Source organism: Homo sapiens, chromosome 1 (genome assembly GCF_000001405.40).
Source record: "Homo sapiens chromosome 1, GRCh38.p14 Primary Assembly".
NCBI classification, from domain to species: domain Eukaryota; kingdom Metazoa; phylum Chordata; class Mammalia; order Primates; family Hominidae; genus Homo; species Homo sapiens.
Window position 1 is genome coordinate 117,183,607 of NC_000001.11, and position 27,521 is coordinate 117,211,127.

The 27,521-nt window shown below is 42.9% G+C and overlaps 1 protein-coding gene across 6 annotated transcripts in view; it reads right to left on the bottom strand.

The window, feature by feature from the left end:
• VTCN1 (V-set domain containing T cell activation inhibitor 1) overlaps window positions 1–27,321 on the bottom strand; it is a 67,341-nt gene extending 40,020 nt beyond the window's left edge. For 5 of the 6 annotated variants that reach the window (NR_045604.2, NR_045603.2, NM_001253850.2 and 2 more), the window contains exon 1: window positions 27,218–27,321. Coding sequence is in view for 2 of the 6 variants with exons in the window: in NM_001253850.2 (NP_001240779.1) it covers window positions 27,218–27,249 (32 nt within the window). In the remaining 4 variants the exon portion in view is untranslated. Of the gene's footprint in view, window positions 1–20,011; window positions 20,231–27,217 lie in introns of those variants that run through there. The other variant, NM_001253849.2, reaches the window with a different exon arrangement.
• Between the last annotated feature and the right edge of the window lie 200 nt (window positions 27,322–27,521).

Genomic DNA, 27,521 nt, shown 5'->3' on the forward strand with positions numbered 1-27,521 from the left:
GAATACTTGTTAAACTTGAGTCCTCTTGGACATTTCTCTCCACAAACAAGGGGCAAAATAGAAGTGTTTCTCTAAAAGAGAAAGGACATTGTAGGGAATGAAGAGTTAAATTTCCAGAATAGTGCATACTAAATAGCCTTTAAAAAAATCCTTGATAAAAATACTTGAAATGCTGAATAAAAAGAAAAAAATAAAAGACAAAACCACACACACATTTTTGGGTACTTCATTTTTGCCAGCAAGAAAAATGAGGGAGATTTGCAGAGGCTAAAAATGAAACCAGCACATGAGTCCAGATCAGTAAGAGAGTGCTGGGCGCAATGGCTATGCATTCCAGGGACCAAAAGCTTCTGTCTTCAGAGCCATACCAAACACCAGAGACAAAGCTAAGGGGCCATTCAAGCTGGGGACTCACTGCCAAGTAGGAGCCCTTTAAAATGAAATCTTGGTTTCAGAGGTTTTGGGAAATGGAGATGTTATGAATTCAGGCCTCAAATCTGCATGATGACTGTCTTATATATACACAGTTTCAGGGAATATATATTTTTTTCTTTACCCAGCACCAAGACCAAGTGAGGTTGTTGCCTTCTGGTACTCCCCCTGCCCCAGCTTTGCTGTGCAGCAGTCCAAGCTATCAAGAACCTTAAGATATGGAAGGCATTTGTTAGGCCAGTCCAGAGTCACCTGAAGTCTGGGCAGCACTGGGCTATCTGCGAGGCTGACTGAGCTTGTCCTTCCAGCATTAGCCAAGCAGGAGTGGCAACCTGTCTCTGCCATCCCTGACCAACACACACACAAAAAGTGACCAGAGGGAAAAGTTAAGCTTCAATGAACTTATCTAGAAATTTATAATCAGGAAAACTAGAAAGAAGTGACTTTAAGCAATTTTTTTTACCTTGTGTGTATTTTTATAGTTCAGTGTTCTTTATACTTTGAATTCTATGCTGGCTGGTAGGGGTGTCAGTGGGCAGTACTACCATCTTTTTAATACTTACAGCATATTTCTGAGCTTCAGGGAAGAATATTTAAAGTCCAGGGAGGAAGCTCCTTTCTTCACTTGGTGCCCTTCTTCATGATGTGTGTATGTAGCGTTGGGAGGATAGTGCCTGGCATGGAGCAAAGGCACTAAAGATGTTGGCTCCCTTTCCTGCTACTCAGAGGCTAAGGACCACAGCAAGAGCCAGGGTGACTGTGGATACCAAGCGTGTTGTGTTTCAAGGCCAAAGGGGTGAAGGATAGAGTTAGGAGAAGAATGTTTCATCCAGAGACACTTAGAGGCAGATTCTGTTAGGGACTGAGAATCCTCCTAGGCCTGGAAGCAATGCCCAGCCAGTTTTCCCTTAGTCTAGAAACTAATTAGCTTTGCTTCTTGCTAACCCAGAGGTAAGAAAAGGAACAAATGCTGGTACCTCTAATGCTGCCACAGCTAAGTCAGATCTTGACTTAGACTTAAGAAGTTAGGATAAATAACTAGCACCGTTAGTTTTATATTTATAATGTTTCTTAGTTTCTTCCATCTTTTAGGCATATCTTACCCAAACCAAGGGCAGAGACATTTTCTCATATTTCAGTCAAATACAACAGTTCCAAGTGGTCACTTCAAGTCTCAGGTTTCTTCCTGAGAAACCCAGGAAAGACCAAGTTGTGGCAGCAGAAACCAGGGCCCTATGGGAAAAGAGGCAGGAATGACTAGGGTCTTGGTCCTTTGCCATCTAGGCAATTTTTCTACTACTTCATGGAAGCCAACCACATTCCACCAGAAAAAGTTTCCATGGGCTGCCATCAGAATCAAAATATACCTAGGCTGGGGATGTCCTGATCAGTGCCAAAGTGGCATTTGTAAACCAAAAATAAAATTCTGAGCCCCCCAACCACCTGAATGGACCCCTCCTCTTGGCCAAGGGCATTCCAAAGTTAATCAGCAAAAGTAGTTCAGGCCGTGATAGGAAGCAGAGGGGGTCAGACATGCCCCATTATATCCTCCTCTCTTTTAGAATTCAAGAAAAGCCCACCAGCATTACAATCAACACAGGCTTTATCCGATAAGAAACACTTACAATGTATTCTCTCTGAAGCCTACTTGGAGGCTTCATCTGCGTGATAAAATCTTGGTCTCCACAAGCTCTTATCATAACCTAGAAATTCCTTTCTATTGATAGTAACTCTTTCAACCATTTGCGAGTCAGAAAATTTTTAAATCTACCTGTGACCTTGAAGCCCCCCAACCCCCACTTCAAGTTGTCCCACCTTTCCAGGTTGAACCAATGTAAAGCTTACATGTACTGATTGATGTCTTATGTCTTCCTAAAATGTATCAAAGCAAGCTGTACCCTAACCACCTTGGGCACATACCGTCAAGACCTCTGGAGGCTGTGTCATGGGCACATCCTTAACTTTGGCAAAATAAACTTTTTTAATTGATTAAGACCTGTCTCAGATACTTTTAGTTTCACACATTCCTTGCATGAAATTCTGCTTCACTGTTCTGAAATATGGTCCCTAGTTATAGGAACCATCTTTTCCAGAAACTGGAAATGTAGTTCAACAATGGTCATGAGAGCTATTTCCAGGCATGAGAGATCTGAAAGGCATAGTTTGGCTTCATAGCTATTCGAATTTCTGGAATATGTCAATGGTTGGAGAGACAATAAGTAATATAGCTGAAATTAGAACAATCGTATTAAATCTGAGTCATGTAGCTATGGTGTGGTTGGACCCCCAAGGAGGCATTTTCTTAGTGTATAAAGTGGATTGTACCTGCTTAGACAGCCAAATGAAGCGTCTTCAAGATGCTGGGGCTCAGAAGCATAAACCAGGCAAGGCCCTTAACTGGTTACAGCTTCCTCCATGCCTGCCTCAGCAGTATTAGAGAAGCAAGTTCATTCTTATGCTTTTTAAGTATTTTGTGATTTTATAATGTTGTGTTTTATGTTGGAACTGGGGCTTGGAAAGTGAAATGAACTAGTTATTGTGAAGGAAAAGAAATAATTGGATAAGAGATAGAATGCAGGGAATGAGAGGGTAGGTATAATGGATGGGGCCCCTTATTTTCCCTCTCCACTTCAAGTCCAGATATTCTCTGTACATTCACTGATGTCCATGAAGCCATGGGCACTGTAGGAAGACACATCTGAATTATCCAGGCCAGTGGTTGCTCACATCTGGAATCCCAGCACCTTGAGAGGCTGGGGCGGGAGGATTGCTTGAGGCCAGGAGTTCGAGACCAGCCTGGGCAACATACCTGGTCTCCATAAATCAAATTAAACAGTGTTATTCAGGCCCCAGAATTGACCCTGTTCTTGAATTCCTTAGGGCAGATTCAGAGGGGATTACTATTTTTACAGGTGGCTGCTAAGATTTCTGGGCCCTTTTACAAACCTTTAAAAAAGGAGCTTTTTGGCCGGGAGCAGTGGCTCATGCCTGTAATCCCAGCACTTTAGGAGGCCAAGGCAGGTGGATTGCTTGAGTCCAGGAGTTCAAGACCAGCCTGGGCAACAAGGTGAAACCCTGCCTCAGCAACAAGGTGAAACCCTGCCTCTACAAAAAATACAAAAATTAGTTAGGTGTGGTGGTGCGCACCTGCAGTCCCAGCTACTCGGGAGGCTGAGGTGTGAGGATTGCTTGAGCCCAGGAGGCAGAGGTTGCAGTGAGCTAGATCATGCCACTGCACTCCAGCCTGGGTAACAGAGCAAGACCTTGTCTCAAAAAAAAAAAAAAAAAAAAAAAAGGAGCTTTTTCCTACCCACTTTACCAATTTAACAGTATTACCAAGAACCTATAATTTCATTATTGTTCCTTCAGGCACTTGAGGAACTAGGGGACAAAGCAATAGCATGAAGTCCCCAATGACATACAGGATCCTGTCAGTGCATTTGTGAGATACACAGACTCCTCCTTCTTTAGTGTATAGCTTCCCTCCAGATAATTTTTCAGGGAAACTACTAGCCATATGCATCAGAAACTGTCTCTGTGTCCTCATTATACCAGATACATTGCTCTAACACAAATGTGTTACATTGTATTGAAATTATCTGGTCACACATTTGTGTCTCCTTTAGTCTCCTCTAAGTTTCTCAAGAACAGGGACCATATCTTTTCATTTTTGTGTAACAGGATGTTACATTTAAAGTTTCAACTGAGGTTCCAAGATAAAATAGATGCTGCATACCAAAGTGAGGTGCCACATCACTATGCAGAGTTTAAAAAGGGAATCTTTAAAGAACAAAACAAAAAATAAAAAATAAAAGAAATTATAAAATGAAAAAAAGAAAAGAAAAAAACTAAAAAAAGGGGGGATCTTTGACAATCATTTCCATAATTCTTACCCACTTCACTCACTTTGACAATTATTTCCATAATGCTTAGCTGCCTCACTCAGATGAAGGGTATTAAAAGGGCCCAGGGTAGGAAAAGATTTGGGAAGATATTTCTTCGGGGATTTTTTTTTCTTCTGTGCTATGTAAACATCCTCCTCCCCCTCTCTAACACACAAATACAAAGCTTAACTTGAAGAGCTTGTAATGTGTTCTTGATGGGGTAAGGTGGGGAACACCATGGATTAGAATTTAAATCATACTTGAGAAATTCAATATGATCTAGAACAGATCAGAGAGCGAGAGAGAGAAGGAGAGAGACGGACAGACAGAGACAGAGAGAGGGAACACAGAGAGCTGCGAGAGTCACCACTCTTTTATGAAGCAAGGAATGTGTACCCTTCCAGCAGGGCAGATGTCCTAGAACTATGTGGAGTCCTCACCAATAGGAATAACCGGGAGAGGGAACTGAGCAGTGAGAGTCATGTGTGAAGTAGACTTTTGGGGAATAAGGGACTGAGGCAATATCAGGCAATTGAAGGTGAAACCAGGTTTTCATCAGAGGCTTCAGAAGTTTCATCATGTATTTCTATATGTGCACTTTAAAAGGTCAGATATAAAAAGAAATTATTCCTTTGATTATAACTACTGGTCATGCTGAATCAATTCACCAATCACATTTATTTCTCTAAGTGTCAGACATCATGCCTGACTCATCCTAGGCATCTGATAAATGCTAAACTGAGCTCATCTGATTTTGGGACATATTCTACTACTATACCAAAATATGTCCATGACACAGCCCAGCTGCATGGCAGCCCATTTTTTCCCCCAAGATCCTTCAGGCCATTGAAAGCAGTTCGTATTTTTATTTCAGGGTAATGACTCCTTAAATTATACTTTTGGGTAGGTTTTATGCGAATAATTTTAGGTCGTTTTATGTGAACAATTACAATTAACTAAATATAAACACACATTTAGAAATCTGCTCTTAATTATTATATATAAGTAAAAAATAGTTTTCTAACTCCAGAGATACAATGTTATTATAACCCATATAAAGTCCAGATGTCTGTGGTCTAGGTTTTGGCAGTGTCACGGTAAACAAAATATCAGCCTGGCGGAAAAGTTTAGGTGAAACCAATGAATATCTAGAAAAATATCAAAGGCATTACATGGATAACGCATAGCAAAACTTCCTCTTAAAAAGACCCTCATTACCAACTTCTACCCTTCTTATCAGTTCCCCCAAACTTTCCCTTTCCTAGAATTTCCTCAAAACTCTCTCTGAAGTTCACTTCCTCGTCTCTTCTCCCTCTGTGCCTACCCTGCTGCCTATTTTCTTGTCTCGCACCTGCAGGTCCACTATCCTCTGCCCTTTCTCTCATTTCCTTTTCAGTTTTCTCTGCATGATTTACTCCATTGAACTCGTAATTGTGAGTTGGAGAATGTGGAGATTTAGCAAAAGGTGCCAAGATTTTCATGAGAAGTTGGGTAGAGAAAGAAAAGTCTGTGAGTATTTAACTGTTTTTCCCTGTCGTTCCACGAAAGGGAGACTTGGCAAAAGTCAGCATCAGGAACAAGAGGAACAGATGACCTGCTTTACCCGATCTGAAGCCCTGCAGAGGTGGACTTTCTTCACCCCAAAATAACTCTCATCTTTAGCTTGATAATAAAATGAAACTTTAGAACAAGGAAGTTATTTCTTTGTTTTTGTTCCTGATTAAAATATTTAGTATAACATTTCACTCATTAGTTATCGATAGCTAGGTAAATGAATGTATTAGTTACCTTACTGGAAGTAGAGTTGGGTGGTAAATTAAGAGGAAGGCAGCTAAGAAGAGGGACATCAGTAAAATGGGATAGGAGATCCCCCACTCCTATTCCCCCACAGCAATGTTAATTTGGCAACCACTGGTGGATACCAGTGCCTTTGTGGGAGCCTTGGAATCCACGTAGGAGGTTGCAAAACCCCAGTGAAGCCCAAGACCAAGGTAGGCTCATGCCTTGGTGGCAGACTCACCCACCACAAGCTACAGATCCAGAAATAGCTTCATCCTCTGTGGATTCAGCTACAACCCCATTTGGTCTTGGTCCTGCCACCAGAACCATCGGCTAAGGAGCCCAGGAGGAGTCACACACCACACACAAGTGCCTCAGGTAACAGGCCCATTGATCTTGTTCCCATCTTTGGACTGCAGATCAGCCTATGACCCAGTGCTAGTCCCTCTCTGCTGTGCTTATGGAACAGTCCTGTTCACTCAGGACTTGATGGGAGACATAGCTGTCTGTGCCCACGAAGACAGACTTGCCAATCTCAGTCCAACTGAGGATTGTGAAGCAGCCCTATGACCTACCTTCAGCATTTTTCAGGCTGTGGCCTCAGCAGTCCTAACCACCCAAGAACCTGGCAGGAGCCATGCCCATCCATGTCTGCAGAGGTAGGCCTGAAAACCTTGGTCTCAATTGTGGATGCTGAAGGAACTCTGTGACTTGGTTTCAGCCCCTTTTAGCCACAGACCAGAGCCAGTATTTCCTGCTTACTAACTCAGCAGGTATCCTCCCACAGAGACTTGGCAGGAGCCATAGCCATACACACACCTGATAACAAGCCCACTGTCCACAGACCCAACTGCAGATCCTGAGGCAGACCTTTGGTTCAGTATCAGCCCTACTGACCAAAATCTAGGACTCCTCCAGACAGGATCCATATCTGCCCAAGCCACTGGTAATGGGCCCACCAACAGTGGACCCTGCTGCAGACTCAGGAGCAGTTATGTAACCCCACTCCAACCTTGCTTAACTACAATCCTGGAGGCAATACCATCACTCCAGGGAACTGACAGGCAAATGTCCTTACCTGCCAAAACCAATCTATAAAGTCTAAAACAGATGTTTGGTCCTTACAATATATAAACACTAATGCAAGTCTATGCACATTAAGAAGGATCAGGCAAACGTGACACCACCAAAGAAACTAGTAAAATTTCAGCAACCAACCCAAAATATGAAAGTCTATTAATTGCCTGACAAGAATTTAAAATAATCATCTTAAAGAAGCTCAATGAGATGCACAAAAGAACACAGACAGACCATTAAACAAAAATCAGAAAAACAGTACATAAAAAAGAAGAGTTTAATAAAGAAACAAAAACCATAAAGAAGAACTAAACAGAAATTTTGGAGCTGAAGAATGCAATCACAGAACAGAAACATTTGATAGAGGGCTTCAACAGCAGACTTGATCATACAAGAAAAAAAATCAATGAACTTAAATACAGGTCATTTGCAATCAGTCATTTAGAGGAACAAAAAGAAAAACAATGAAAAATAGTAAAGAAAGCACAGAAGACTTTTGGGCCACCATCAAGTGATCAAATATATCCATTATGGGAGTCTTAGAAGGAGAAGCAAGAGAGAAAGGGGAAAACATACTATTTAAAGATGTAATAGGCCAGGCGTGGTGGCCTATGCCTGTAATCTCAGCACTTTCGGAGGCCAAGGTGGGAGGATTGCCTGCAGCCAGGAGTTTGAGACCAGCCTGGGCAACATAGCCAGATAGCCAGACACTATTTCTATAAAAAATAAAAAACAGACTGGTTGCTGTAATCCCAGCACTTTGGGAGGCCAAGGTGGGCAGATCACCTGAGGTCGGGAGTTTGAGACCAGCCTGACCAACATGGAGAAACCCTGTCTCTACTAAAAGTACAAAATTAGCCGGGCATGGTGGCACATGCCTGTAATCCCAGCTACTCGGGAGGCTGAGGCAGGAGAATCGCTTGAACCCAGGTGGCAGAAGGTGTGGTGAGCTGATACACGCCATTGCACTTTAGCTTGGGCAACAAGAGTGAAACTCCATCTCAATAAATAAATAAATAAAATAAAAAATAAGCTGGGCATGGTGAAAAACACCTGTAGTCCTAGCTACTTCAGAGGCTAAGGTGGAAGGATCTCTTGAACCCAGAGTTTGAGGCTGTAGTGAGCTATGATCATGCCACTGAACTCCTGTTCTCCAGCTTGGGCAACCAAGCAAGACCCTGTGGGGTGGGAGGGAAATGTAGTAGTTGAAAATTTCCCAATTCTTAGGAGATATATAGATATATATATATACACATCCAAATTTACAGAGCTCAAAAGATTTTAAGCAGCGTCCCCAAAGAATATTACTCCAAGACACATTATAATAAAATAAAATCCAAAGACAAAGACAGAATTTTGAAAGCAGCAGGAAAAAACAGGCTTGTCACATATAAGGGAAACTTTGTGAAGCTACTGGTGGATTTTTCAGCAGAAGTCTTACAGGCCAGGAAGAAATGGGATGATATATTCAAAGTGCTGGAAGAAAACAACTGTCAACCCAAAATACTAAACCTAACAAAACTGTCCTTCAGAAATGAAGGACAGATGAAGATATTCACAAACAAAAGCTGAGAGATTTCATTACTACTAGACCTGCCTTATGAGAGATGCTAAAGAAGGTTTCTCAAGTTGAAATTAAAGGATGCTAAGTAACAATATGAAAGCATATAAAAGTATAAAATTCACTGGAAAAAGTAAATATACAGTCAAATTGAGAATACTCTAGTTCTGTAACTGTGGTACAGGAATCACATTAAACTGTAGTATAAAAGTTAAAAGACAACAGTATTAAATATAACTATAGCTATAATTTCTTAATGGGTATACACTATTAAAAATGTAAAGTGTGACATTAATATCATAAGATGTGTGTGTTGGGGGTAAGATTGTAGAGTTTCATGTGCAATTGAAGTTAAGTTGTTAGCTTAAAATAGACTGTTATAGGTATTTTACGTAAGCCTCAGGATAACTCAAAAAAAATTCTAGTAGACAAAAGATAAAGAGAAATGAATCAAAGAATAACACTACAAAAAAGTAATCAAATCACAAAGGAAGACAGAAAGACAGAAGGAAAGAAACTTCAGACCACTTAGAAAACAATTAACAAAATGAAATAGTAAGTACAGTTAGCCATTAGTATTCATGGGTTCTACATCTGTGGATTCAACCAACTATGTATCAAATATTAATATATTAGGAAGAAAACAAAATAACAACACAGCAATAACAATGGAAATAAGAATAACAATACAGCATAACAACTATTTACATAGCATTTACATTGTATTAGGTATTTTAAGTAATCTAGAGATGATTCAAAGTATATGGGAGATGTGCATAAATTATATGCAAATACTACACCATTTTATATAAGGAACTTGAGCATCTGTGGATTTTTTTATCAGGCATTTTGGGGTGGGGGAGTGGTTCCTGGAACCAATTCCCCACAGATACTTAGGGATGACTGTACTTACCTATCAATAACTACTTTAAATGTAAATGGATTACATTTTTCAGTCAAAAGACAGAATGATTGAACAGATTTTTTAAAAAGATCCTACAATATGCTGTCTACAAGAAATTCATTTTACCCTTAGGACACAGAATGAAAGTGAAGAAATGGAAAGATATTCCACGCAAATGGTAACCAAAAGAGAAGAGCAATGGCTATGCTTATATCAGACAAAGTAGACTTTCAGTCAAAATTTGTTGTGAAGACAAAGATAGTAACAAAGATAATGACAAAGGGGTCAATTCATCAAAAGGGTATAACAATTGTAAATATATCTATGCATCCAACTTGGAGCATCTAAATATATAAAGCAAATATTAACAGAACTGAAGGGAGAAAAGACAGCAAAACCAAAATAGTAGGGGACTTTAATATCCTACTTTCAATAATGGACAGATCGTTTAGACAGAAAATCCATAAAGAAATGGTAGGCCTCAATAATTCTACAGACAAAATGGACCTAATAGACATAGAACATTCCATCCAACAGCAGCAGCAATAAATGGTACTGGGAAAACCAGAGTCCACATGCAAAAGAAAGAAATTGGATCTTTATCTTACACCACACACAAACATTAACTCAAAATGTATTGAAGACTAAATATAAGACTCAAAACTCAAACTACCAGAAGAAAATATAGGAAAAAAGCTCCCTTTGATGTTGGTTTTGGCAATGACTTTTTGGATATGACACCAAAAACACAAGCAAATAGCAAAAATAAATAAGTGGAATACTTCAAACTAGAAATCTTCTGCACAGCGAAGAAAACAATCAACAAAATGAACAGGCAACCTAAAGAATAGAAGAAAATATTTGCAAACCATATATCTGATAAGGAGTTAATGTCAAAATATATAAGGAACTCATATAACTCAATAGCAAGAAACCAAATAACCCAAGTTTTAAAAATGGGCAAAGACTTGAATACACATTTTTTTCAAAGAAGATACGTAAATGGCTAACGGGCAAATGAAAAGGTGGTCAACATCACTAATCATCAGGGAACTATAAATCAAAACCACAGTGAGATATCACCTCACACCTGTTAGGATGGCCCTTATCAAAAAGACAAGTGATAAAAATGTTGGTGCGGATGCAGAGAAAAAGGAACATTTGTATACTATTGGTGGGAATGTAAATTGGTATAGTTATTGTGGAAAACAGTATGAAGGTTCTTCAAAAAATTAAAAATGGAACTACCATATGATCTGTCAATCTCACTACTGGGTATATATCCAAAGGAAATGTAATCAATGTCTAGAAGGCATATCTGTACCCCCACGTTCATTGCAGCATTATTCACAAGAGCCATCATATGGAAACAAACTGTGTCTATCAATACATGAGTTGACAAAGAAATTGTGTCCCATATTTACAATGAAATATTATTCAGCCTATGAGAGGCAGGAAATCCTGCCATTTGTGGTAACACAGATGGAACCTGGAGGTCATTATGCTAAGTGAAATATATCAGCCACAAAAAGACAAATACTATATCATCTCATTTACATATGGAATCTTAAAAAGTTACACTCATTGAAGCAGAGAGATGAATGATGGTTGCCAGGGGATAGGGGTTAGGGAAAATGGAGAGGTGTTAGTCAAAGGGTACAAATTTTCAGGTATAAGAGTAATAAGTTCTGGGGATCTAATATACAGCATGGGGCCTGTAGTTAATAATATTGTTTTGTAGGCCGGGCACGGTGGCTCATGCCTATAATCCCAGCACTTTGGGAGGCCGAGGTGGGTGGATCACCTGAGGTCAGGAGTTCGAGACCAGCCTAATATAGTGAAACCCTATCTCTAGTAAAAATACAAAAATCAGCCAGGCATGATGGAGGGCGCCTGTAGTACCAGCTACTAGGGAGGCTGAGACAGGAGAATTGTTTCAACCTGGGAGACAGAGGTTGCAGTGAGCAGAGATCACACCACTGTACTCCAGCCTGGAGAGAGAGCAAGACTCCGTCTCAAAATAATAATAATAATAATAATAATAATAATAATAATAATATTGTATTGAACACTTGAAATTTGCTAACAGAGCAGGTCTTAAGTGTCTTCACTGCAAACACACACAAATAACTGAGGTAAAGTATATGTGTTAACTGACCTGATTGTGGTAATCGTTTCACAATGTATATGTACATCAAATCATCACATTGTATGCCTTAAATATATAGAATTTTTGTCAATTATACCTCAATTAAGCTGTGGGGAAAAAAGAGAAGGGAGGCTAAGAAACGAGAAAGAAAACCTCAAATATTGAAGAAGATGGTAATGTTAAATTAAAATTTTGTCATTTTCTTTTTCAATATGTTGGCAGGGTTAGTGCTGGTTCTGGAAAAAGGCTTTAGTGAAAGTTATTACTTTAAAGCATATAAATGGTTGGTAGGAGCATAAGTTGGTACCAACTTTAGTGTGGGGAGAGGGGAAAAATTTGGCCACATATATCAGAAGGCTTATGATATGCACAGCCAACTTTGATCCAGTAATTCTACTTCTAGGAATTTATTCTACAGAATCAACAGGATACATTTCCAAGGTTATCTATAGTGTTGACTAAAATTAATGTAATAGGATTGGGTGCGGTGGCTCACACCTGTAATCCTAGCACTTTAGGAGGATGAGTAGGGAGGATTGCCTGAGCCCAGGGGTTTGAGACCAATTTGGGCAACATAGGAAGGCCTTGCCTCTACAAACATTTAAAAAATTTAGTCAGGCATATTGGCATGCACCCATAGTCCCAGCTACTTGGAAGGGTGAAGTGGGAGGATCACTTGATCCTGGGAAGTTGAGGCTGCAGTGAGCTATGATAGTACCACTGCACTCCAGGTGAGGCAACAAAGTGAGACTGTGTCTTGATGATAATAATAAAATAAAATAAATGTAATAATTTTGGCAAATAATTGAAGGCAATTAAATGTCCAACAATAGGGAACTTAGTGAGTGAATTAAGGTTCATCATTAGCGGCAATACTATGCATTTGTTAAAAAATCATATTATAGAAGAAGATTTATTTGAGAAATACTTATAAGACCAATAAGTAGAAAGTCATTTCCAAAATAATATGTACAGTATTTTACTATGTATTAAATACATATATATATATATAGAGAGAGAGAGAGAGAGAGACGGAAAAAAAAGACTGGAAGGACATATAAATAGTGGTTATCTCTAGGTTAGGACCGATAGATATTTTTTTCCTTTGTGCTTTTTTGTATTTTCCAAATTTTCCACACTAATCCAATATTATTCTTATAAAACAAACAAGGAAAACATATGTTAAAAAAGAAAACTCTGCCTTTTTTTTTTTAAGAGTACAGTCTAACTCTTTTAGATGTTGGGCAAACAGGCATCTCTCCATTTAATGCTCCCATAAAGCTGGTAACTTAAATACTTTCCTGGGTTAGTGGTTTGCATTTTCAGAAGAGCTCTCATAGAAAGAGCTAGTACCCAAGTGAATATATGCTATAAATTATAGATAACTTGTTTTTCTTCATTTAAGTGAGCAAGCATGTTCTTCATAAGTCAATACATGGCTCACAAACTACCCCAGGCAATGATTAGACAGCAGCCTCAGTTCCAGAGAGCTCAAGCCAGCAGCACCTGGAGCCCCTAGAATTTTCGGATAAACAGAATACTTCCTTCACAGTTTGACACCTTTGGGGAATGCTAATGAAAGCCACCATCTTGCAGCTCACTTCTTTACAACTTTATTTGCCTTAAGGGTAGAAAATTGTGAAGCTAGCAGGAGCCTCTACCCATATTAAAAAGATTCTCTTGCAGTTCACCTATTTTTCTGCCTCAGAAAATCATCGTTTACTTTTAGACAACATGTTTATTAAGATAAGTACAATATGTTGGGGTCAGTATTAGTGAAACTGTAAGTACTTATTCGCTAAGCCCATAAAAGTCAAGCATTTCATTGACCCAGTAATTTGTCTACTAGAAAATATCAATGTAGAAATATGAGAAAACAGATTTATCATGCACCTAAAGAGAAGTAGCAATGTTCACACCCCTCCCCCTTCTCATTGCTCTCAGAGAACTCAGGATATATTATTAGGATATTTTTGACTTTTACAGAGGACAAATTTGAGGCAGGAGAATAGGGTCTGGAGACAGGGAACATAGGGCCCATTCATGCTGACTTCCTAGAACTAAGTCAAATGGAAACACTTCAGCTATAATAGTAAATATTCTCTCCATTTACTTAGGGAGTATACTGAGTAAACGACTTTGAACCTTTACTTCATCCTCTTCATTTACATAGGGCGTACACCAAGTAACCAATGGAAACCTCTAGAGGGTATTTAAGCCCCTGAAAACTCTGTAACAGGGCTCTTGCGCCCCTTTGCTTGGCCTGCTCCCACCCTGTGGAGCATTATTTCATTTTCAATACATCTCTGCTTTTGTTGCTTCATTCTTTCCTTGCTTTGTGCATTTTCTTCAATTCTTTGTTCAAGACTCCGAGAACCTGGCCACCCTCCACCAGTAACATATTTATACCCTCCACTGGTAACAAAATGAGAGGTAAGGATCTGAAAGATGGCATGGCTTGTTCAAGGTTTGCCAGCGTTTGCTTCTTCAGTGAGTCTAAGTCAAGGGCTGTACTTCCATTTCCATCATGAGAAAGCAAAAGGCTTGTTTGTATGCCTGCTGGTAACTGGGTGTTTGTACCAATGCCCCTGAAAGTCCAAGAATTTCTCCTGTAGGTACACTCACTCTGGGCACTGCCTTCTACTGCAGGGACACAAAACTGTTGGGGCCCCATTTAATGTCACTTCAACCTTACTCAGCTACAGTTAACCACTTTAATTAAATTAACGTGTGCTATCATAGGGAAGCCCCACCCTACCTTTCAACTCTCATCTTCCACTTCCCTGAAGTATCATGATTATTTCTACTCACATCTAACAACTGCTAGATAACCAGATCAGATCTGCACAGTGATGTCAAAATGCCTACTCACTCTCTAGAGAATTGGTCATACTAACATGTGAATGACAGACAGCCCTATTAAAGGCTTGTGTGTTATATGTGAATGACAGACAAGCCTGTTAAAGGATCTCTCATGGGAAGGATTCCAGATAGTGGGACAGTGGAGTAAAACAAGAAAAAAAGGCAGAAGCACTGGGGATTTAGTCCTGGCCGGCCATTGTTTCACTGTACTCTGATTCTACCCCCATCCAACATTTCCATTCCCTGTCTTAGACATTTGGCTCCAGTGGCTGCAGAAAAATTAATTCAAATTCTGGCTACGTGTGCCTTCAGCATCCACATTCTCTGTAGAGGCATAAGCAACCCAGGGCTGCATCGCCTCCTGCATCCACATCAGCACCACCCACCTGGTAGTTGTCAGCAAATGAAAGGAACACCTATAAACTAAGATGAGAATAATACCCTGAAAGATAAAGTAATTAAAATTATAACAATGAGACGGCAGTCAAAACAATACCCACGTTTATTTAATACCTGTCATTTGAGAAATACGGGGTGATCCATTCATATCACCTCATGAATCCTCCCTATACTTTTATGAGAGAGGCAAGAGCATAGGTCAGTTACAAAAAAAGCCAATGTGGGGCAAGGTTAGTCAAGAAAGCACTGCTGTAGAAGGGGAAGACCTGAAAAATATGACTTTGGATATCAAATATGGGAGGGCATTCCTGGAAAGTAAAAATACCAGCCTGCCCTTTGGTTCCTGGGCATCTGCTCAGCCAGCATCTGCATCCAGTTTGGAAGGTGGGAGAAGGCCCTAGATGCTGCTCCTGGGCTCCCACATTCACATAGTTTTGTCTCCTCGTGGCTTCTATTCTTTTGTAATTACCCCAGTGCCTAGTTTCTTGAAGGTGTCCTAATGTACATTAACAAGTATTATTTTTAAAGGGATTACATTTTCATAATGTTGGGTGAATCACAATTAAACAGACTTAAGTCTATAGGATTTTTGAAATCCTTTAATATGCTAATATGGATAATGAATGTCCTAGAAGAATATATATTAGGTCAAATCCTTTGAAATTACCATTTTTCTTTTTCTTTCTTTTTGAGACTGAGTCTCACTCTGTCTCCCAGGTTGGAGTGCAATGGCGCGATCTCTGCTCACTGCAAACTCTGCCTCACAGGCTCAAGCAATTCTCCTGCCTCAGCCTCCCGAGTAGCTGGGATTGCAGATGCCCACCACCACGTCCAGCAAATTTTTATATTTTTAGTAGAGATGGGGTTTCGCCATGTTGGCCAGACTGGTCTCGAACTCCTGACCTCAAGCGATCCACCCACCTCAGCCTCCCAAAGTGCTGGGATTACAGGCGTGGGCCACTGTGCCCGGCCACAAGGAATTTTTTTTTTTTTTTTTTTTGAGATGGAGTCTTGCTCTGTTGCTCAGGCTGAAGTACAGTGGTGCAGTCGTGGCTCACTGCAACCTCTGCCTTCTGGGTTCAAGCGATTCTCCTGCCTCAGCCTCCCCAGTAGCTGGGACTACAGGCATGTGCCACCACGCCTGGCTAATTTTTGTATTTTTAGTAGAGATGGGGTTTCACCATGTTGGCCAAGATGGTCTCCATCTCTTGACCTTGTGATCCGCCCACCTCGGCCTCCCAAAGTCCTAGGATTACAGGTTTGAGCCACCACGCCCAGCCTGCAGGGATTCTTTTAACTGTAAAATTGCTTTAAAATTTTGTTTTAATGCAAAAAGTTTTCATGGAAAAAGCAGAGCATAAAAGCACACACATTGTATTAATAACTATGTAAAAAACTATTCACAGTTGGGCTTTAAAAGGGCAAAAACAAAAAAGAAAAGAGTCATTTATAAGGATAGAACTATGGGCCAGTCACAGTGGCTTATGCCTGTAATTCCAGTAATTTGGGAGGCTGAAGTGGGAGGATTGCTTGAGCCCAGGAGTTTTTGAGACCAACCTGGACAACATAGGGAGACTCTGTCTCTATAATAAATAAAGTGGCTAGGCATGGTGGTGAGTACCTGTAATCCCAGCTACCTGGGAGGCTGAGTTGGGAGGTTACTGGAGCCTGGGAGGTCAAGGCTACAATGAGCCATGATCTCACTGCTGCCTTCCAGCCTGGAAAACAGAATTCTGAGAAAAATCCCAGTGCACCCCCTCCCCATTCTTTCCAAGATTGCAGAGTAGTGTCAAGGATAAGATGACCTCCAGCCAGGACTTCAGTATTAAGTTCCTCTGACCTCCTCATTGAGCTAGGTGGACTCCAAGACCTAAGGGACAGGTAAACATTACCCTTTGAATATCTTCTTTGCCTCCTTACCCAGATGTAGCCCGCCTACATAGATCCCCAAATCTTCAGGTATTCCCACCACCCAGTGGCTCTTTTCCAAAGTTTGTGTTTAAGTTGGTTATTTGAAGTTCTGTACAGGATCTTACAGCAACACTATTTACAAATGATGGTTAGCTTTTCCAGCAAGGCCCTAGATGTCTGTTGGATTCCAGTGTTTTAGATGTTCTGCACATCTATTTATTTTGAGGCAGGATCTCACTTTGTCACCCAGGCTGGAGTGCAGTGGTGTGATCTCAGCTCAGTGCAACCTCCAACCTCCCATGTCAGCCTCCTGAGTAGCTGGGACTATAGGCGTAATCCCAGCTACTACGCCAGGCTAATTTTTTTGGTTTGTTTTTTGTTTGGTGGGGTGCAGCAGGTAGAGACAAGGTTTCTGCATGTTGCCTAATCTGGTCTCGAATTCCTGGACTGAAGTGATCTGCCCCCCTTGGCCTCCCAAAGTGTTTGGATTATAAGTATAAACCACCCTGCCCAGACAATTCTATACATTTATAATGGGAAAGGAAAATAGTAGAAAAATAATCCTATCATAAATGCACAACTACAATATAGAATATACTCTTGAGGGTTAACTTAGGGAATAAGGTCCAACTTATAAAGCTGTGTCCACGGGAAAATGTCTTCCTGGGCTTGCTTAGGTCACTGTCCCAAAAGCCCCTCAGCAGCCTCTTGATGGAGAATGAGACTGTCATAGCCCAAGAGAATTCCTCTGTCCAGGCCTTTAGACAAAGCCTGGCCTGCGGGAGGGAGTCCCAGTGCAGCAGAATCACAGAGCTGCCGACCAGAAAGGCACAGTAACTCGGGATTATGGCTTTCTCTCCAGGGCTCTGTGGGGGAATCCCTCTGTGTAGGGGAAATTCTGGAATCCTGATCTCCCCCTTTCCCTGCATGCATCCCACTCCCAAATGCAGCCTTGTTCCTAGGTTCTGAGCCAGCAGCAATTTGCAAGCCTGCCCCTAATATTCCTTGCATACTGTCCTTCTGGAGGACCTGGCATGAGTAAGTACCCAAGAGATATAGCCCCTTTATGGGGAAGCACCCACAGAGCTGGCCCCAAGGTGAAGGTGACCACTGTGGGATGGGGTGAGGGGGAGCTTAAAAACTTGGCTTGTTTTGCTAAATTGCTATGACCCTACATTATGGTCATTAGACAAAGATCCCCTGGCCTAAGGCCAATAAAATGACACCATGACTTTCCCATCAAATCTGGCTGCTTCTCTCTTGGCTGCAGAGAATCATTAATATTTGGTCTCTCTTTAACAAATGGAAGAAAGAAGGAAGAGGCTAGAAGGCAGTTTCCTTGGATGAGCAGAAGTGAAATCAAATCTCAGCTTCTTGCCTCCCTCATCTAACTCTCTCCTGCCTCAGGGCTTTCCACCAGGACCTGTCTGGAAACCTTATCTCAAGCTTTAAGGGCTTATGCCTGGGGCTCCTCTGGATGTGAAAAGAAATTCCCTCCCACACAGTACCTGCTATTACATGACTTACCCTATCATGCCTCGTAAGACTTTAAGAAGCTTCTGCCCACCACTTTAAAGGATAATTGTTCTCATACTGTTATATTCTGTTCCTGAACACTTAGGTATTTTGGCAAAAGTAGGGTCAATCATCAAATATAGGAAATGGATGAAAGGGTTATGTCCTTGTACCTGACTACAGAGCTTGGTGGCTTCGAGTTGGGGCAGCAGAGGAGAAAAGCTGCCACCAGCAACCGGGTATAGAGAAACGGAGGCTGAGAGACCAGCTTGATGTCAGGAGTGAGGGGGAGAGCAGCAAATCAGGGGAGTGTAGTGTCATGGAAACCAAGAGAAGAAAGAGCTTCAGGGAGGTGGTGAGGACATCTGTGTTGAATGCTGAAGTGAAGACAAGATAAGAACAGAGGTGTAAACATTAGACTCAGCAATGTGGAGGTGATTAGAGGCACTGACCGGAACAGTATCTTGGTATAGTGGGGACAAAATCCATCTAGAGTAAGTTGAAAAGGAAATAAGAATATGCTGCTAAGCGCTTTATGTCTTAGCTCATGTAATTCTTATAACAATCTTATGATGTAGATTCTAATATTATCCCCATTTTACAGATGAGGAATCCAGGCACAGAGAGGATAACTAGATGGCCCAAAGTCTCACAGTTAGAAAGTGGCAGAGTTGGATGGACCCAGACAACCTGGCTCCAGCCTGTGCTTGAAACCTCTACCTCACTCTCCTTTCACAATGCCACGAAACCAGGATGAACACTCACTCCAGACAACACTAGCGACAAGTGCTGAAAAGGAAAAAAAGAGAGATGGGGTGGGTAGCTGGAGAGGTTGTGGGGCTGAGAGAGAGTTTTCTTTTAAGACAGAAAATCCTGATACACGGGTTGCATGCTGATGGGGATAATAGAGGTGCAGAGGAGAGATTGATGATGTCTGCTGGAGGAGGTGTTTGCGAGCTGGGAGATGAGATGGATCCAGAGCACAGAGGGGCTGACCTTTGATAGGAGCTCAGCAAATCCTCTGGTACCAGGAGGGGAGGCAAAGAAAAAGGGCACCCAGTGAGGGTAGCGGGTAGTTTTGGATGTGAAAAGATGAAGGAGTACCTGTCTGCTGGTTTCTCTTTTCTCAGTGAAGGGTAGAGCAAGATAATCATCTGAGGCTGGGGTGGGGAGAAGGGATGGGGGTTGTAAGAGGATTGAAGAGGGAAGAGAGGTATGAAATGGCCATTCTGGGGGTGGAGGTGCTGAGAAAACACAATGAGGAGGTGAGGCAGGGAGCTACAAGAGACAATTCCTAAATTTTATGGATGCACTGTCTGTCTCTCAAATCTTTCATGGTTTTTATCTATGAAATTTTTCATTTTAAATTGCAGAAAAAGAAAGAGGAAAAACTGCCTGCCCTCTTTCCCATGACCGCTGTGCTGGCAGCAGCAGGAACACATCTGAAGTGATGTGATAGGAAATCAGAAGCATTGCAGGCAGATGGTTTGGGATTGTGAAAAGCGCACACAGAGAGAAATGTAGCCTGGGTTTCTTACCTGTAGAAACTTCATGGCTTTTCCTTTGTTTTCATCAAGACCCATCTGTGGCTCTTTAGCACATTTCTTAAAGAAGAATGTGGAATGATAAATGATCCCAGGTGAAATTTATATCTATCTGGATTAAATCCTTGTGCTTTTCTGGAGGAATCAGGGAGCACAGAGCGGCTGCTAATACAGAGAATCACCTGGAGGTCTTGTTACGCCACAGATTACCAGGCCCTGCCCCCAGAATTTCTGATTCTTTGCAGGATGGGGGGAATGAAAATTTGCATCTCTAATAGTTCCCAGGTGATGTGGATGCTGCTGGTTGGAAGACCATACTTTGAACATCGAGTTTGGATGGGGAAGGCCTTAGGGTTCATCTAGTTCACCACTTCAGGTGGCAGAGGATTTCCCGCACCTCACAGAACAAGGACTAGAAAGACGATGTCTGAGTCCATTGAAATCCCAAAAGATTCCAGACACAAAATGTCCTTAAGTCCAGCTGCTATTGTTGGACTTGTCATTCCTCTCCCTCCCTGCAAGTCTCTGTTTTTCTGCAAAAACATCGGAGGGAATAATTTGAGACTAATTAACACATAAAGTGCTAACTATATACAAGACGCTGCTCTGAGCTCTTTACTTTATTAACTCACTTAGTCTTTATAACAGCCCTGTGACCTAGGTGCTACTATTATTAATGCCCAATTTACTGATAAGGTAATGAAGACACAGAGAGATTAAGTAACTTCCTTGAGGTCACCCAGCTAGGAAGTGGAGAGCTGGAATACATCCACAGATCAGACTAACTCCAGTTTCCACATTATTTCCACACTTTCATATGGCAAAAGTAAGTATGTATGAAGTCTTGGTCTCTCAGATTTGTGGATTCTTGCTGCTTGGGTAAAATGTGGTCTGCTAGGGTCCAACATAGTTCTTAGCTAGGGTCCCTGGGCAATATAGGATCTTGAAAAAACCCTGTTTTGGCCAGTTGCGGTGGCTCACGCCTGTAATCCCAGCACTTTGGGAGGCCGAGGTGGGTGGATCATGAGGTCAGGAGATGGAGACCATCCTGGCTAACACGGTGAAACCTCGTCTCTACTAAAAATACAAAAAATTAGCTGGGTGTGGTGGCATGCACCTGTAGTCCCAGCTACTCAGGAGGCTGAGGCAGGAGAATCACTTGAACATGGGAGGTGAAAGTTGCAGTGAGCCGAGATCACACCACTGTACTCCAGCCTGGGCAACAGAGCGAGACTCTGTCTCACAAAAAAGAAAAAAGAAAAAACCCTGTTCTACCATTTTTAATGTATGGCCCTTGGACAAGCTGCCTACTTTATTCTGATTATCCCATTGATAAAATGAGGTGTACTGACTTTCTGAACTTTTAAGCTCTGAAAGCATATATATATGCGTATATATACACGTATATATATACGTGTCCTGTATATGTATATATATGTATATATGTATATGTACATGTATATGTATGTATGTATATGTATGTATATGTATATGTATATATACATGTCATATATATATTTTTATATATATATATAGAGAGAGAGAGAGAGAGAGGGGGGTCTCGCTCTATTACCCAGGCTGGAGTGCAGTAACACCAATGATGGCTCACTGCAACCTTAACCTCACAGGCTCAAGCAATTCTCCCACCTCAGTCCCGAGTAGCTGGGACTACAGGCATGTACCACCACACCTTGTTGATTTTTGTATTTTTTGTAGAGATGGGGTTTCACCATGTTACCCAGGCTTGTCTCAAACTCCTGAACTCCTGGACTCAAGTGATCCGCCTGCCTCAGCCTTCCAAAGTGCTGAGATTACAGGTGTGAGCCACCATGCCTGGCCAGCATATAATTCTTACTGAGTTTCAGTAACTCCTTACTCCTGCACTCATTCATCTAGAGCAGCTGCCTGAAGCAACACAGACCAACAATCCACAGGCTGCAGCTAATTCTGGGAGCAGCTCTTCCCGTGGCCAGCTAAGAATTCTTCTGCCATGACAGTCACTGAGGAGGTGTGTTTTTGCCAGTGATGAAGGGTTCTGCTTAACTAGCAAGAGAATAAGCACAGCTGATTAGAAAGGTAATTTTTCAATAAAAGTAGGTATAGAGGACTAGGTAGTAACATGTTGGTTCCTGCCATTGGCTGCCTAGGAGATATTGAGCAAGGTAACTTGCCTCAACATTTGCATCTGTGAAATGGAGATGATTAGGACTATGAGACAGTTTAGCTAGTTAAGCATTACCACGTGCTTGGTCATAGTCGCATCGCTCCAATTGGCCCCTGAGGTTGTTGTTCTTGGTGTCAGCAGTGCCTCATCAGAGATCTAGACGCTGAGCTTGTACACACTAGGACCTCCCAGATGCATCTCACCCACCCTGAAGCTCTTCACCACCAACTTTTAATGCTCTATACTGGCATTAAAAGAGTCAGACATTTAATAAGTCTAAATCCTAGCATCCTCAGGTTTAGAGAAGGATTGTGTCTCAGATTCACGACAACAAAAGGTGTGGTGGACTTTATTATTATCATTTTTTTTTTTTTTGTAGAATAAGAATCTGGAGAACTCTATGAGTATTCTCCAGAGTTCTTTTAGAGCTAACTGAATTTAAGAGATCCCTGGGGCAATTAATCCAAAGTATACCCTCACTGCAACATCTGTTTCAGGATCAGAAGTGCCAGTGGAGTCGTGAAATTGAAGTTAACAAATTTTTATGGAGAGCCAACCAAGAACCATGGATTGTAGAGGGAGTTGCAAGTAATGAGTATAGCAATAGCTAACATTTATGGAGTTCTTAGGATGTGCCAGGAACATAATTATTACATATCATTCATACAGCCCTAGGAGTTAGGTACTATTATCTGCCCCATTTCATAGATAGGGCAATTGAAGCTCTTGGAGGGTAAATGTTCATGGTGGCACAAGGAGTTGAATCCAGATGCACAGCCATAGTGCTACATTGCCTCCCTACAACAAGGTGCATGACAGAGTCCCAACCCTCAAGGAGCGAACCCTGGTGAGGGAAACAGGCACAGGAACAGATATTCATATCTGTTGATGCTGACTATGAACATAAGATGGGCAATTGATGGCAACTAGAAAGATCCTGTAAGACTTCAAAGTGGAGGTGGCATTTGAGCTGAATATTGAAAGAAATGACTAGCATTGCAACAGGTGGAGATGGGGGAAAAGCATAACACTCAGAAAATCATCTACCCTCAATAGGAGCAGGAACACAGGTGCCACCTATTTAAGTCTTTCTTCCAATGTACAATTTATCTCATTTTGCAGATTCCTGTCCTGTTCACGGGATGGACTCAGAAGGTTCTGAAGGCTCAGATTTTATAGGCTCAGGGAAGCTGAAAGTTGGACACAAATACGGCCTGTGCTGAGATCTCCTCAGCCCAGGCTCAAGCAAGATTTTCTTACCAGACAAGCTTCCATGGTGTTGCGAGGCACTGTTTTCTCTGACCTTCAAGGTCTGAGATGTCTGAGCCAGGCACCAGCTTGCAAACTTAGGAGAAATGGGAAACCAAAATTCCAAAGCAAACTCCCTGAGCCTCCTTGTCCCAGGATCCCTCATTCTCTACTTCATCCACCTTCCTATGGTAGAAAGATCCCTGCTCCTTCTCTACTCAGTAGCTTCCTTCCTGTGACATGTTTTTATCAATGCCATTGTCACTAGTGATTTCAGATGAAACAGGGTAAAGGTTTATGGATCACTAGCCTTGTGTGTTCCATGAAACTCTGCTCTGTTGACATCCATTAATCTCTATCCTGGCCTCTTGCTACCTGTCTTGCCATTTATTCTCAGCTCTTTCCCTGACCCCCCTCTTCCTCTGCCCACCCTTGAATGTTGGTGTTCTTCAGCCATCCGTCCTGGCCCCTTGCTTCCCTCCCTCCACATGCTCTCCGTAGGAGCCACCCCCTATGACTATTCCTTGCCCTTGAGCTATTGACACTAGATGTCTATCCCCAGGCCTGACCTCTCCTAGTTTTAGCCTCATGCCCTCTGCTGCCCAGGGAGCATCCCCATCTGAAGGTCCCAGGGGAATCTCAAGCTCAACACATTAACTAGCTCTCCTCTCTCTTCCTTGTCCCCAACTCACTGCACCCAATCCAGAAACATGGTAGTCATTCCAGGATCTGCCCCTTGCCTCACCTACTCTTATTCTGCAGCATCCTACCTGCCCCTCCAATCATTGATCAAATATCACCAGTTTTAAGTCCAGTGTTTCCTGAATCCATTTTCCTCCTGTAGTTCTTTACTCTCACTCTCATCTATGCCAGGTCCCTGTCATCCTGTATACTCTGACCACAACTGTTTCCCAACTCTTCTTCTGGCCTCCAGGCTTGCTGCCCACCTGAGACGAAAACCACCTTGACCCCCCTCTGAAGGCTCTGAAGGCTCAGATTTTATAGGCTCAGGGAAGCTGAAAGTTGGACACCAATATGGCCTGTGCCTGTAAGGGCTCCTCATCACCACAAATCCCAGTTCTGAGTCTATCGAAGGCCCAGTGTGACCTGGTGTGACCTCTCAGCCTCATCTCCCAGCATTTCCTGCCTCAAACTTCATGTTATGATGATAATACACAGTAGTGTGTAGCTTTCCAACACACCATGCTCATTCATGAGTTTTATTGTATTTGATTTAATTCTGTTTCCTCTACCTAGACAGCCTTTTCCACCCTTCTTCACCTGGGTCATATGAACTCATTTTTCAAGACACAGCCCACCCATTCTCTGGCTCAGAAACCCTCCCCAAAAGCCTTGGGTGAGGGAAGTGCTCCCCTTGCAACCTGTGCTTATTGTCTGAGGACTTAAGGGTGGCGCGTTAGAGTTGTTATGTGGGAGTCTTTCTCCTCCATTAGGTTATGACCTTGACAGCATCTTAGTCACTTTTGCCCCATTGTCTAGTGCAATATTCAGGACACAGTGAGTGCTCAGTTAATATTGTTGACTGGAACTTAACCCCCTCAGAGCAAGGGTTTTCTACCCCTGTCCTCCTAGCAAGCATTCTGCAAATGTTTCATGAGCGAATGCTGCTGCTGTCAACAGCCATGATGGGGAGAGGGGAGGAGGGTTCTAGTCACACAGTTCCTAAATGTGCACAGAGGCCAGGCACGGTAAAATCTGCACATCAGCATTCCATCCCTGAGCAGCATGCATGCTGAGAGTGAGATCTGAAGGAATTAGGCTCTCTGGAAATTATGAATACTTAGGAGAATAACTCACTGGGTCTGCAGAGGATGGCAGGCCCTTTCATGAGCGTTCCAACATCACCACTGTCATGATCACCTCCAGGAGAGGTATTTTTATGAATTAAGGCCATTATGACAAAGGAAGAGGGTTATTAGGGTCAAGAGTTACCCCAGGCAGGCTCCACCTGCATCCCTGAGATGAGCTTTCATGATCCTGCTCCCCACTGAAGCTGCTCATTGGCCCTCTTCCTGGAGGTCCCTTGCACAAAGGATCTGCCACCCTCATGGACAGTCGCTGCTTCTGAAACTGCAGAGCATGAATAGCCAACAAGGCATGCAGGAGCCAACAAGAGGAGTCTCTGTTGATTCCAGTGGGTTTCTGAAGGGTAGGGGATACGAATTTTGAACACCCACCTCCTGCTAATCCTCCAGCAAAACCAGTCAGACTGGATGCAAAGCATTACGAGAGAGCCCACACATCCCATCTGACCTCTGAACAATGGAGCCACTTGTTGCAGGAGGAGTGTTTCATGTCCTTGGGATCAAGGCTGGAGGAATGGTGGGCATGGAGAACTGGGACTGGCAGGAGCAGGGGCAAGGGTGGCAGGGGGAGAGAGCTTGGGATTTCAGAGCAAGATCCCCTCATGCACAGTTTCACAGTCATCTGGCCTTAACTTCTCTGAGGTGATAACGAGTCTTCACAAGGCAGTGGTGGACACGCTGCTCTAAGACACCTAGTGCAGGGCAGGGAAGGAGTCACTCACAAAATGCTAGCTCCTCTGACATAGGTGCTTCTTAGGGACATCCTCTCAGGGCAGAAGGGTCTAGAGGGAAGCCCCTGCCACCCACTGCTTCTCCTGGAGCACAGTGCTGTAGCCAGGCACAGGGGTGGGGGCAGAAGTGCCGCTGCAGCCACCCCCACCAGCCCTGCAGAGTCCTTCACCTCTGCTACCCGGCAGGTGATTTCAGATAAACGTGAGTCGAGTCAGGGGAGCTGATATTTTGTTTCAAGGAAAAGAACTTTCTAGGCTGCCTCTGGGAAGTAACATTACTCTCGTAGTCTCTTCACAAACTTTTCACTGTTGACCTGAGGATTCCTTTCCTCTCTCCTTCCCTCTCTTCTTTTCTTCCTTTTGTGGGAAAAAGAAACAAATTGGAGGACTGGTCCTTCAAACAACCTCTAGAACCAACAAGTATCAGCCTCCCTAAACACTGTCCTGAGTTGTGACTGACACTGAATCAATCATTTCAAGAAAACCCTGCACTTTCCATCTCTTTCCTTCCAGGAGGGTAAATGCTGTTCTGAGGGAAAAAGAGGCAACTAGAATGTAGCTCAGGGGAGAAGCAAAAGGTAGGGGAGGGAACTTGCTTCCTTCTTCCTCTCTGGGGAGTTCAGCAGCAGCAGCAGCAGCAGCAGCAGCAGCAAGTTCTCCTCTCCAAGGAGCTCCTAGGAAAACTAGGGACCCAACCTTTGAGCTGGGGGGGCCTGGGGAGGGGTGTTGGTGTGAATTGCTCAAGAGTAGCAAGAAATCACACCCACAGAGAATGAAAGCACATTCTCCTCCGTCCCCCTGGGGGCTGCATAAAGGGTCCTCCTGCATCCCCTCCACTGTCGCAGTCATGGATTCCCTGCCATCCCACCATGCAACCCACACCAGCCTGCTCAGTGTCCCCATGGTGCTCACAGCCTTGACATCTCAGGGGAATGCCCAGCTTGGCACGTACTCCCCTCAGTCCAAGCTGCCCAGCAAGCGCCAGCCCTCCATGGCAGGCCACCAACCAAAAACCTCCCTAACCCTGAACAGGTGCCTTGAGCAGCTGAGGTGGGATGTTAAGTCAAATCCAGTTAGGCTCTTGTCTGGCCAGGCTCCCGCTGGCCCAATGCTGGATCAGATAAAATTACAGGTGGGGTCCTATGGGACAGCCCAGCAGTGCTCAGCATCCCCAAAAGACCTCACTGCTGTTCCCTTCACCCATAAGGATAGAGAGAAGAGTATATACTACCTCCAGAAGAGGATCTGCCCCAGGGAAGCCATGGCTGGGGAAGGTTCCCAGCGTATCTGGGTACTGGCTGAGTGGAGCTGCCGCTGCCTTCCTTGGTGACTCACAACCAGCTCCCGTGTATTGGCCTTAAATAGTGTGTTGAGGCCGGGAGTGGTGCGTGCAGCTGTAGACGGCTCAGGTATGAGGAAACTGGCTGTGCAGAATTCCCTGCAGGCACAGTGGCTGCCTGCTCCGGCCAGCCAGCCAAGCCAGGGGCTCAGAGCTGCCTTTCCAAGTCTTGACTTTGGGAGGGTGACGAGGAAAA